General features: G+C 37.2%; 1 protein-coding gene across 1 annotated transcript; it reads left to right on the forward strand.

The window, feature by feature from the left end:
• The first annotated feature begins 3,161 nt into the window (after positions 1-3,161).
• Positions 3,162-12,678, forward strand: OR2F1 (olfactory receptor family 2 subfamily F member 1). The gene is made up of 3 exons (NM_012369.3): positions 3,162-3,421; positions 7,271-7,426; positions 8,266-12,678. The coding sequence occupies exon 3, from the start codon at positions 8,289-8,291 to the stop codon at positions 9,240-9,242; it is 954 nt and encodes a 317-aa protein (NP_036501.2). The 5' UTR covers positions 3,162-3,421; positions 7,271-7,426; positions 8,266-8,288; the 3' UTR covers positions 9,243-12,678.
• The last annotated feature ends 675 nt before the right edge of the window (positions 12,679-13,353 follow it).

Below are 13,353 nucleotides of genomic sequence, written 5' to 3' on the forward strand. Positions count from 1 at the left end.
TTTGAGGGGAGAGGGATGGAGGAGCACAGCTTTCCATAGGGACAGGAAGGGCCGCATGGAGGCTCTGCTCTGGAGAACTGGGAGTGGTGACAATTAGCACTCTAATGCATGAAGCTCCTGAGGGAACTCTCTCAGCCCTTCTGTGCAAAGTCAGCCACTAACACACTTCCGTAGGTCTGCGGATCAGCCAATTTGAGGGCGTCTATGAAGTTCCTCCCAGTAGTTTTTCTCTCAATCTAAACTAGTCTCAGGTGATTTCTGAGCCCCTGAGTCCGAGGAGTCTGGGATCCTTAAACTCCATCATCCATCATTTTGTTGGAGGAGAGCATTCTTTACAAAACAACTTAAACGTTTACTGAAATAGGTAAGTCCACTTTTTCAGGCTCTGATGAATATTTTAGACCTCTTAATAGAAATTTCAGCAGAGGGTGAGTGTCAAGAGAAGTTTATAGAGAGGTAGAAGTCATTCTTACATGCAATTTTAGGAAGTTTGGATCAGAAATATGAACCACGAATGATGAAATCGTCTCACCCTAAGTATTGAAACAAATGTAATAAAATAATTTTGTTTTCCAGAAGCTGGAGAACTAACTACACTTTCATTTTATGGGTTTCTCAATTTCAATCTTTATTACTAGTAGAAAAGAAGAGAGAGTGAAAACAGAGGTTGGGGAAGAAAATAATTATTAATTTTTAAATAGAGATACCATGGATGAATTCTACATTATTTTTGGGAAAGACACTTAGAGGAGAAACTCGTAGCTATAAAACTTTTACTTAGATGTTGATTGATATCCATGAACATGTGGCAGGAATATATTACCTTTCCAAATATGTATATTTCCAGATAAATTGTCAATTGTTTTAATGTCTTTTCTCTCAATTATTTCCCTAAGAGTATTTTGATTTTAATTTTCCTTTCTATGATGGAAATTTTAAATGTAAGATGATGAAATAAATTGATAGATGTCTACAGCTCTCAGAATATGAACTGGTACTACAGTTGATGCCCCTGACTCAGGCTTCGTTAATCTAGAGTGTGTTGTAGAGTTGAGACTATTGATAGTCACTGTTGAGACTATCCAGACTAAGGAAATTATGTGCAAAAGAATACCCTAGACTTAGATATAGAAGAGAGGAGATATAAAGAAGATGAGCATTTACAGAATGAAACCATGATAAAACATATCGGCAAAGGCGAATTTTAGGATTGCACCATATTTGAGACACTGGGTCTAATAATTGGACTCAGATTATATGAAAAGTCAACCAAATCAAGACAGGAAATAGACAACAAGGTCTCAAAGAAGAAAGACTAATTGTCTTCTCAGGATATCTAAAACCATCTTTGAGATCTCACCCACCCAGTGGCACTTGGGTTCTGGGTGTCCAAATGTTAGGATGATGGAAATACTTCTGCCCATGATGGATGCATTCAGCGTATACAACCAAGTGCTCAACCGCAGGTCAGATGCACCTTCCTCTAAATGAAATGAACATTTCTAATGACAGCCCAAGTCTGTAAAGGAAGGTGTCTGGTTTATTTAGAGCAGCATGAAAGAAAAACGTATGTTTTTTTGTGGGACTTAACCTTCATGTGCTCTGTTGAATACAGAGTATTCAGAGCTCTATTTGCCTCAGCTAAGATTGTAGAGGACTCCAATAAGAAGGGCAAATAGGATTAAAACTCAGTGGAGTATTAGAATCATGGTGTACTCATTTTCTGGAGAGAAAGTTTTTGGCTTTTTAGTCCTTAGCTTTAGGGAATTATCACTATAATGAATAAGAGAATATTGGTAATATGCCCCGAAGCCTCAGTATGTCTCAGAATAAATTTACAAGGCTCTTACAAGGTTTTATTTAACCATGCACTCTTTGAATTGATGTAAATATTGGAAAGGATTATATTCAGAAATATATTTTTGGAATGTGAGACATTGAGGAATGCTTTTCTGGCGTGCATACCTCCTGAGTCTTTCCAAGTCAACACTTCCCTCTTCCTAATATGGAGGAAAAGGGAGAAGTTAATGTCTTAAGCCAGCCAGTCAATAGAGGTAGAAAATTATGTTAGATACTTTAAAATGTATAATACACTGACTGGGGTAGGATAGCAAATCATGGAACTCAATGTTGCGAATGGAAAATATACCTAGGTGTCAAGCCCTGGACATTTGATTCCTTGCAAGAATAAATTGAATATATTTCAGTCTTGGTCCACAGAGTAGCAATGGAATTTAAATGCAATTAAAAATAATAAAACAAAAATGTGAACAGCAGCACGTGAAGACATTTCCAGAGCCCCACAAATTATGATCCTGTCTGCGTGGCACCAACACAGTGATAAGTTCTGTCAATGCCTGATTGATCTTTAACTATGGGTCTGGCTTCTCATCTTTTACTTGATGAACAGTGGCTCATGGTTCCTCCAACGTCTTCTCATTTCATTAAAGCAGCAATAGGGGGAGGATGTGGCAAAAGGCTGAAAAGGAACTTTAGGGGAGAAGTCATTGTTGCTTGGGGCTGTACCCTTTCTTCTCAGCATTCTGCAGAGCTGTAGGGAGCTGAGCATGGATGGCACCCCCATCTCGGAGATCAACTCTTCAGGGTTAAATAAAATTCTAACAGACTAGTTGGCGGAATGATTGCATAATTTCAAAATACCAGATGTTTACAACAAATATTAACATATATCACTGCCTAAGAATTTACTATGAGTAAGATATTTAACTTCACTTAAGATCTTGCCTTTCCCTGTGTTCTTTTTAAGAAGGGGAGAGGAAAAGGCAATTTTAGAACAGGGGCCACATCTGCTGGAAGGCAGGCCTGAATATAGAGAGCTACAGAGACTTGCATGGAGCTTTTTGGCTCATAGATAAGGGGTTAGAATATAAATTCAGAGAAAGGAAGGCAGGAACGTCTATATAGCCCAATTTTATCTACCCCATCCAGATAAAGGCTAGTCCAGGTTTGAACATCTGCTAACATGGTTCTGTGAATTTTTCACTCTTCATCTTCTTCAGGTGACATATATTTTCAGTCAAAGATATTATAAGATGGTAGTCGATTGAAACAATAAGAAAAAGAGTAATGGGTGAATTTACCGAGATAGGATAGGTTGAAAAAGAACATTTAATTTGTTGCAATTTAGATTTAATTTTTATAATAAAGAAAATAGATTCCATGGAATCAATGAATTGATTTGCTTTACTAAAGAGAGATCTTGACTGATTGAAATTTAACTGTTAAATTAGAGTTTTTTTGTTATGTAAAATGAACTGTGTGAGGAATCTAAACACTTATTTTTTTGTTCTTTCTTTGTCGTTGATAGAAGAATATTTCAGTCCTGATATTTGCTGTAACTAATAATTACTGGATAAACAGAGAAGACACATGGAGGATATTTTACCTGGGTCCAACAAAAGTAATTTTGTTTTATTTATTTGTTTGACAAATAAAAATTGTATATATTTATGGCATAGATTTTAAGAAATCTTGTTACAAAAATAATATGTATGTGATGTGATGCATATATTAATTAGCTTAACTTAGCCATTCCAATAAAGGTAATATTTATCTAGAAAATTTTGAGCTTTGCTATTCATACCTCTTCTCTGATTTTTTTCCTGTAATTTTCAGGTTATTTACATCTAAAACTCCAGCTTTTACTATTATGTGATGTAAAGGATCAGTGTAAGCTGTTATACCAGTTGATAATGTTTAGGTACTTTATATTATAAAAGTTTCATTTAGCATTATTGCATTTTTAAACATTTCACAAAAAAGGACAATGTGCAACATAAATGTAATACATTTCAGGAATTAGAGACAGGGCTTTAAAAAAGATAATCATTCACAGAATATTTCAATAGCACCTGTCTTACTATATCACACATTGTTTTCTATTTCTTATGGTCACAGTGATTATCCTACATTCACCCCAATTCATAAAACACAGGAAGCAGTAATTCCTTTTTTCATTGTGATCCTGTTTATGGAGGTGAACCACAGGGTATGCCATTTTTCAGTACTGTGTTCTGAGCAGGCAGCGTGAATTGGTTATTTTCAATGGTCAAAAGAAAGCTCAGAACACATATAGAAAAAATTGATTTGATGTTTGTTGAGTATGAAGATGATATAACTCTAAGAATGTAAAATAGAATTTTATTGCTTACTAAAGCAACATTAGATGCCTGGCAAAAAGGTAATGTTGTTGGTGTTGGACAAGTACTGTGAAGAGCACAAAAGTCACACTTGTACACCACAAAGAGCTAAATAGGACTATTAGCTGTGTTCATTGTCCAATACTGGTTTTGTAACTTGGCTGCATGCTTGTATTAAGAGGTTTTGGTAGTTGTGTTTGTACAGACAAATTGAAGAAATATTCTCACATTTTTTCCTTAGTTAGTTGACCTCAATGAATGTCACCGGTGTAGGGAAAGTATAGATTCCACAGATTAGAGCAGTAAAGATCAAGCTCTGGCTTCCTATAGAAGTGGTTGGATATGAAGCATGTTACCTGACACCTAGTCCATTCACCTTGATATAAGAATAGAAAGCCAGTTATATTTAGCTGGAAGGTGAGCCCAGAATAATATGGAGATGGTTTTAACTGAAGGTGCATTAAAATCATCTGGCTCATACATATTTCCTCCTTCAACTGGCTTTCCAAATGCAGATGATATTTACATTTTCTTTGTCTAACATCAGTCCATAAACATTCGAAACAAGATATATTTTTTGAATATTAATTATTTTGAAACCCACAATAGCCATGGAAAAACACAGCATACTTGATGGGTTAACATATCAGTGAAAGATATTTAAGTATTAGCAGCCTATTTTAATAAAAGACTGCTGGAAAACACAAGGCATGATAATAAATGCTATAGTTAATAAAATAAAGTTAGTCATAGAAGAAGAGCAGATTATGGATTGGATGAAAAGTATTCTGCCCAGGATAAACTTAAATCTTTACACACTTAGACATTATAGATCTTTTTGTGCTTAAAAAGGACATAAAAATTTGTATTTTATATAATTAACTTGGAGGTTAGAGTGTAGGATTTTGGGAGTGAATGGAAGTTACATTAGGGAAATTTACAAGTAAGGTCTGGCAACTCTAGCAGATGGGAATAAAGAGGGAAAAGGTAAGTGTGGCTGAGAGTAAGGAGGAGATGGGGGAGATATATAATAAAGGAAGAGAATGTATTCTGTGGCATACAGAAGAAGAGGGAAAAATAAAAGATGATTCATTGAGAGAGTAGGAGAAATCTAATTCTGCCGATAGTAAAAAAGAACTCAGGAGGGAATTTCATTCGTGGATAGAGGAGTACAGGCATTGGTGAGATATTTAGGAAACATTCATTCAGCTTTTCTGGAATACACTTGGAGCTTTGAAGAGAAATCTAGAAGGTAAATGTAAAATTGAGAGTGAGCCATATAGAGTTGATAGTAATTATTATAGCTAGAAATAAAAAGACTTCCAAGAAAAACTGTAGAAGTTGAGTACAAGTTCTGAGCACAGAACTTTAGCAAATGCTCATACAGCAGAGCAGGAGAAGGAGGAAGGTTAAGAATGGTGACAAGGCAAATTCGATTGGAGGAAAATCAGGACAGAAGTCCATGACAGAGTTGAGAGTTTGAAGGAACAAATAGGTAACATTGTTAAAAGCTAAGTAAAGAATGCAAATAGAATAAAAATATCTCTGGAACTGATGATGGCAGGTTATCAGTAACCTTTAAGTTTTCAAATTCTAAAGATTAGTGAGGGTAGAAATGTTTACAGTCTCAGGAATAAATATTAGGAAATAAATCCAGACAATGGATTCCAATCATTAGAGATGTGAAATGAAGGGGTATTTAGAATGCTATATACACAGTAAAGCTTCCTAAATTGAGATGCCTGTATATTTTCTTTTATAATGAGGGAGAAGGAGTTACTCAGGAACAAGAGGAACCTGAGGATAGTAGAGAGGGAGAGTAAATGAAGAAAGAATATTCTGAAAGAGAGCATGAAGTCAAGACTAAGGATCATCAGTAAACAATGGACACCTGCCTGTTTCGGCACTTCTGTAGCTTTAGTCCTTCAATTCCTTTAATTTCATCAAGGACCCTTCAGCTGGCCAATATCAGGCACATTTCACACATGAAGAAAATGAGGCTTAGAGAAGCTAAGTATCTTGCTCCAAGTCTCAGGAAGCAGAACAAACACATGTGTATCTAAAACAGGAGCTGTTAGACTCTGAAGTTCACACTTTCTCTGAGATGAGACACTGTCACTCATTTGTAATGTGACAAGGACTTAGTGGAGAGACATGTTGGGTGGCTGAGAGGAGCACAGTGAGTCATGGGCTTGCAGGGTCTCCAGTGCGGCAGAGGAGCAAATGATACGGTGAAGATCACTGTGTCTTTTCCCTCATGATAGGTCAGCTCTCCGTGAAAATTAAGGGTAATATTCACCCTAAAAATCCATCATCTAACAACGATGACACTTTATAGGTGTTTGCCAAGTTAATGGAAAAATGTCTAATTCAGATGCAAATCTGGAATCTAGTCAACAATAGTTGACAGGTTTTCTTTTAGTGAAATGTTTTTGAGGTTTTAGAATTTGAATTTGAATGTCTCTTTGAGGAAATCAAACGTATTCTCAGCCTCATTATGATTTTAGAAAAGCACCCTGAGGGGTGCTGGTGGGAGCATCAGGACAGAGCAGTAAAGGAGGAAATGTTGGAGAAGGAAGGTCTTGAGGAGGACATTAGGGAGAGTTTAGAAAAAATGGTTGTGAACTATGAAAGGGATGAGTATTTCTGGAACTACATGTTTTGCTTAATCCTTTATCACATAAGAGAGTTGAAGTATTGACAGTCTTTCCCTTGCGAGTAAGAGACCCTAGTCTGTCTGGACCTGTTTCTGTCCTTAATGCCTCCTGCCTCATTTGTTTCCTACTTTCCCTTATTGTGAACACTGCAATAAAAAGAACGCTTATGAAGAGGCAGACATGGAATAAGAAGGAATTGGTTCTATTTTTTTTTTACAATGTAATTTGTTTTTATTTATGTTCAAAATTGATGCTATAACATTAGTTTTACTGACAAAGCACTTGCTGAGCAAAAGTAAGAAGGGAATCTCCATTCCAATGTACATTCAAGTGAATTCATATCTCCTTCTCTGTCTTGGACAATGAAGAAGGGTACTTAGACATCTGCTTTCTCTTCCTCCCTTGTATCTAAAAAGCCTAAGCATTCATATGCATGTTTATTTTCTTTGGCAGCCATAGCAACAGCAGCAAGTTGAAAAGAGCAAAAAAAAAAAAAAGAGAGAGACCGAAGTACAATTACAATCCCATCCCACAAAAAGGTCAAGGGCTACCTGAAAGACCGGTGGCCCCAGGATCCTCAAAGCATCCAAACCATCCCTATACTCTCAGGTATGTTACAGATTGTCTCCAATTTTATTTGTATCTGAATTTGTGGAGAGGATGCAGGGAAAATCGTGTTTGTTGGCTTACCTGTCCCAACACAGAGATCATGTTACTACTAAAATCCATGATTCTAGAGTTGTATTACCAGTAACAGTTCAAAAAGTACTTTCCCCATATGTTATTGATAGTAATTATTATAGCTAGAAATAAAAAGACTTCCAAGAAAAACTGATGTTAAATGAACATCAGTTCAAAGAAACTTTGATGTTAAATATACTCGTGAGTTATGTAATAATGTCCTCTTGTATATATAATGTTTATCAATAAACCAACATCATGAATCTGCCTAATAAAATAAGGTTTAAACGTAGGTTTCCAGTTCCAGATTTTTCCTCCAGGCCTTGCTTCTTCCAAATCTTTCCTTTTGTAGTAGATTTACACATTTCATCAAGATGAGTCTAGTTGACATGTTTAAGGTAATTTGTTAACTTTCCAACCATATTCTTCTTCACTGCTTATCATTTTACCGCTGGTTGTCATTTGCAATTTTCTCCTTGCCCTGGAATCTGAAGTAAGTTGGTGAAGATGTAGAATTCCTAATGTTGCAATGCATTATTTCCAGGATTTAACTGGCTTCCCTGATATCAAATTGTGTCTTGTAAAGGCCATAGTTTGTCTCTCTGATGCAAAGTAAATATAATGCATGTTGGGTCAAGACTCTCATTTTGGCCAATAAATGATCTAAAATACCTGCCTAGGGCTGGCTGGCATGTACAGAATGCATTCAAACAAGTAATTCTTATAGTTATTCAACAGCTTCTGTTTTTTTCTGACTCCCTTCACAGATTAATAATCCTTGAATATTTTAATGGGAACAGATAACCAGACTTGGGTGAGTGAATTTATTCTCCTCGGCCTGTCCAGTGACTGGGACACTCGGGTCTCCCTGTTTGTCCTGTTCTTGGTCATGTATGTGGTGACCGTGCTGGGGAACTGTCTCATTGTCCTTCTGATCAGACTGGACAGCCGACTCCACACTCCCATGTATTTCTTTCTCACCAACCTCTCCCTTGTCGATGTCTCCTATGCCACAAGTGTAGTCCCTCAGCTGCTGGCACATTTTCTTGCAGAACATAAAGCCATCCCATTCCAGAGCTGTGCAGCCCAGTTATTTTTCTCCCTGGCCTTGGGTGGGATTGAGTTTGTTCTCCTGGCGGTGATGGCCTATGACCGCTATGTGGCTGTGTGTGATGCCCTGCGATACTCGGCCATCATGCATGGAGGGCTGTGTGCTAGGTTGGCCATCACATCCTGGGTCAGTGGCTTCATCAGCTCTCCTGTGCAGACTGCTATCACCTTTCAGCTGCCCATGTGCAGAAACAAGTTTATTGATCACATATCCTGTGAACTCCTAGCTGTGGTCAGGCTGGCTTGTGTGGACACCTCCTCCAATGAGGTCACCATCATGGTGTCTAGCATTGTTCTTCTGATGACACCCTTCTGCCTGGTTCTTTTGTCCTACATCCAGATCATCTCCACCATCCTAAAGATCCAGTCCAGAGAAGGAAGAAAGAAAGCTTTCCACACGTGTGCCTCTCACCTCACAGTGGTTGCCCTGTGCTATGGTGTGGCCATTTTCACTTACATCCAGCCCCACTCCAGTCCCTCTGTCCTTCAGGAGAAGTTGTTCTCTGTCTTTTATGCCATTTTAACACCAATGCTGAACCCCATGATTTACAGCCTAAGGAATAAAGAGGTGAAGGGGGCCTGGCAGAAACTATTATGGAAATTCTCTGGGTTAACATCAAAGCTGGCAACTTGACTCATGAGTATGACTTAGAGAAAACAGCTTTGCCTCAGTGTTCTCCACCCAGCTGAGATCTGACAGGTGTAAACTACATTGCCCTGGCAACCAGGAAGGAGATGACGTAGCATGTACTGTGGATGTTATGGAGGAGGGGGAGTGGTTCAATTGGATGGGGTGTGGGACGTGGGGTTATATTTATGAACAGTGGAGTTAGATACTGCTGTTATAAAACCTCCCACACTTCTTCCACCTCCACTCTTACAGCCTGACAATCGTTGAAAAAAAATTACTACTTACTGTTTTGATTTGTCATATCGTTTGTAATGATAGACCTACTCATGGATCTTACCTTGGACCACTGGTACTTACACATCCACATTTTATAAAAGGTTATGGGGCTTCCATTGAAAACAAAATGCATTTTTACATTTGAAGACTCACTTTAAATAATTTGTAGTGTATGTCATCACATGCAGTAATTGTGTGAGTCAACATTCTGAGAAAAGTGTTATTGTCAAGGCTGACTAAAATGTTTTTGTGCAGGACCTACAAAAGGTGAACATAATGTCTTCTCCTGAGTGCTGGAGCTAATTCAGTGAAAAAATATCAACTCAAGGTCTTGTTTCACCTCGATAGGGTGACAGTCAATGGTTGTTTGTACTGAAGACAATTATTGACCAAGAAAAGTTAAGCTTCAGGTGCTTCTTGACAGTATTCAAACAGTTTGAGAAGGATTTTACTGCATATATAGGTATATCGTTGAAAATATTAAAAATGATCAATCTCTGAAAAATCTGTAAGCTCTTTCTCAGAATCTTCAGAAACACACAAAAAAGCACACAAATTATGAGATACTGTGAAAAATGTCAAAGACATAGTTAATTTAAGGAAAAACTCTTCAGCCAAAGTCAATGAAGGGTAAGATAATTTAATATGAAGTTTGGAACGTCAAGGAAGGTCAGTCAACTATGCAAATGTTACCCTCAAGTCTTCACATTGAGAACTTCTCTTGCCACCTCCGTCTTCGTCACCTTCACACACACAACAGAGCCATAGGTGAATTTTTGTAAATCTTGTAACCTGGGCTTGTCTGAGAATGGACTTCCCTTTGAAAAGGAGCATAACTGATGTAAAAGGAGAAGACATAATTGAAAAAGTGGAAAGAAAAGAAAGAATATGATCATAGCTGCTCTTCCTACTCCCTTGAAGGAGTCAGTCTTTTCTTCCTTTTGTGTCTTCTTTAAGTCAGTTGATTTGCAGTTCTTACATTTGTCAACACATCATCATAGAATCTAAGAGTTTTTACAGTGTTGAAGGCATATAACTCAAAGCCCATTTGACATCTGAATTTTATATTAATAGTAATGCAATCTTAAATTTTGCAAGATAGGCAGGCATCCTAAAAGATGACAATGCTGGCAAATTAAATTTTTATTTTAAGTATTATCAGTGGAGTATCTATTCTGTGTCAGTGTCAATAAATGGTTGTTGCACACAATAGTCAATATGATACCATCATAACAAGGATAATCTCACATAGTAGGGAGGACAGATGATGAAACAATGATAATGCATTGTGGTAAGTGTTACAGTGAAGGGGAGCCCACTGGAAATGATTGCAGAAGGCTTCCTATAAAAGGACCCTTGGATTGAGACCAGAAATGTAAGAACAAGTTATCCAGAAGACAAGAAACCCAAAAAAGAAACAACCTGTACAAAGTTGTAGAGATGTGAGCAAGCATGAAAGTCCAAAAAATGTTGGAAGTTCAATTTCAGGGCAGAGAAGAGTGAGAGAGTAGTGAGGACGAAGCAGACGGGTTAGACACGGTCAGATCCTGGAAGGCGTCGAATGTCTAAGTATCTTTTAACTTTATTCTAATAGAAAACAATAGTCCGTCAAAAATTTTTAGAAGGAGTATAGATTGAAAACAATTACATTTTAAAAGTATCACTCTGGCAAATGAGATAGTGGAAGAAAAGATTAGAGGCAAGATGACCAGCCTGTCTGCTGGGTCTGCTTCAGTAATACTCTTGAGACATTCGAGACATCTGAATTAAGTTAGATGCAATTGGAAGGAGACAAGTAAAGTGGTGTCATTTAAAAGTGATGTCAGCTAAAACACTTCATCTCCCAGATTGGAAATGCCATCTGAATATCATTCCTCTTCTAAAATGTGAGGATGCTGTCTGAACATTCTGTAAATTGTGTAGTAAACTGGAAAATTCACCATCGTGAACATGCTCTATATGAAATGGTATGGGAAAGAGATAAGAAGAAAGTAATCAAAAATACAAACATACACATAATACATCAAGGAGGAAAATACGTGAAGATGCTATATCTTCATTTCTGCCAGCGGTCGTGTGGTCACGGTGTTCGTGACATTTCTCCATCAACCATCACACAATCCTTTGCCTTCAAACAACTCCTAAGCATGTTGGGGTTCTTCCTGGAAGGGTTATCCAAGTCTTGATATCTCAGGAAGCAGAAATGCTGAGAGTGGGCATTAGGTATGTAGAAATAGACTACTATAGTCTCATATTCTGTATTAGTCAGGTTTCTTTAGAGAGACAAGACTAATAGGATAGATGAATATATGAAAAGGAGTTTATTAAGGAGTATTGACTCACACGATCAAAAGGTAAAGTACCACAATAGGCCTTCTGTAAGCTGAGGAGCACAGAAGCCAGTTGGAGTTCCAAAACCTCAAAAGTAGGGAAGCCAACAGTGCAGCCCTCAGTCTGTGGCCAAAGGCCCGAGAGCCCCTGGTCAACCACTGGTGTAGGTCCAAGAGTCCGAAAGCTGAAGAAATTGGAGTGGAGTCTGATGTTTAAGGTCAGGAAGCATCCAGCACAGGAGAAAGATAGAGGCCAGAAGACTCAGGCAATCTAGTCCTTCCATGTTCCTCTGCCTGCTTTTATCCTAGCCATGCTGGCAGCTGATTAGATGGTGCCTACCCAGATTGAGGATGGGCCTGCCTCTCCTAGTCCACTGACTCAGATGTTAATCTCCTTTGGCATCACCTCCATAGACACACCCAGGAACAATACTTTGTAACCTTCAATCCAATCAAGTTGATGGTCAATATTAACCATCATATATTCCATCTATTAAATTTCAATTTTTATCTTTTTTATTTGATAGAGTTTTTAATTTCAAGGCTGCACTTTCTCGGTAACTTTAATCTTCATAAATTAAATTAGTTGGATCACCTTAAGACTACACACACTTCTAATTCATAGCTGCTTGTGAAGGACATTCCCAATAGAAGGCATGAACATTGTCTTGATACAGGAATACAAAATAAGATGCTATTCTAAACTTTATTGTTTATTTAGCCATTAAATAGAAAAAATTTAAAAAGACACTGAAAAGTATTTGAAAATAAAATATTTTTCATTAGTTAATAACCATAAAAACACCACTGAAGGTTTTCCTTAAAAATCTAATACATATAAAAATTACAGTTTGTTCAAATAAGAATCTAAATAAGACCCATATATTCCAATTGTCTACTATGCCTCTGAGAATTCTTTTACTCTATCAATTAATAAATTTATAGTAAATTAGTAACCTATAAATTCTACTTTTTTACTGTTGGAATTATTTTTTAAATAAAACTGTATCATTTGTTCCTGTTGGATTTCTCATACAGTCTAGATTTTTTGATGACATCCCTATAGTGTAATTTTACATGTTATTTTATTTCTGTATCTCCTGTTTAATCCAGAGGTTTCATCAGGTTTATTTTTTTTTATGACAATGGTATTTCATAGATGGTCACATGTACTTCTAGCAAGAAGCACACAATGTTTGTAGCAAGAAACACAATGTTCCTTTTTTTCTGGGGATTATTACAACTATTATATTGCATAGGTCAGGAGTTTTCAAAAGTGCCAAATATCTATTGACATTTTGGGCTGAATAATTATTTGTTATGGGGGCTATTTTGTGCATGGTCAACATTCCTAACATCTACCTACTAGATGGCCCTAGTACTCCCTCCCAACTAGGCAATGCCAATATTGCCCCTGATAGAGAAGTACTGACCTAGCTCTATTAATTTTTTAGGGGTTTCAAGGTGGTGAGAGTCTATCATCCTTTTCTCTTTATTATCTAAAATAC

The sequence above is a fragment of the Homo sapiens genome, chromosome 7 (assembly GCF_000001405.40).
Source record: "Homo sapiens chromosome 7, GRCh38.p14 Primary Assembly".
In the NCBI taxonomy this organism is placed as follows: domain Eukaryota; kingdom Metazoa; phylum Chordata; class Mammalia; order Primates; family Hominidae; genus Homo; species Homo sapiens.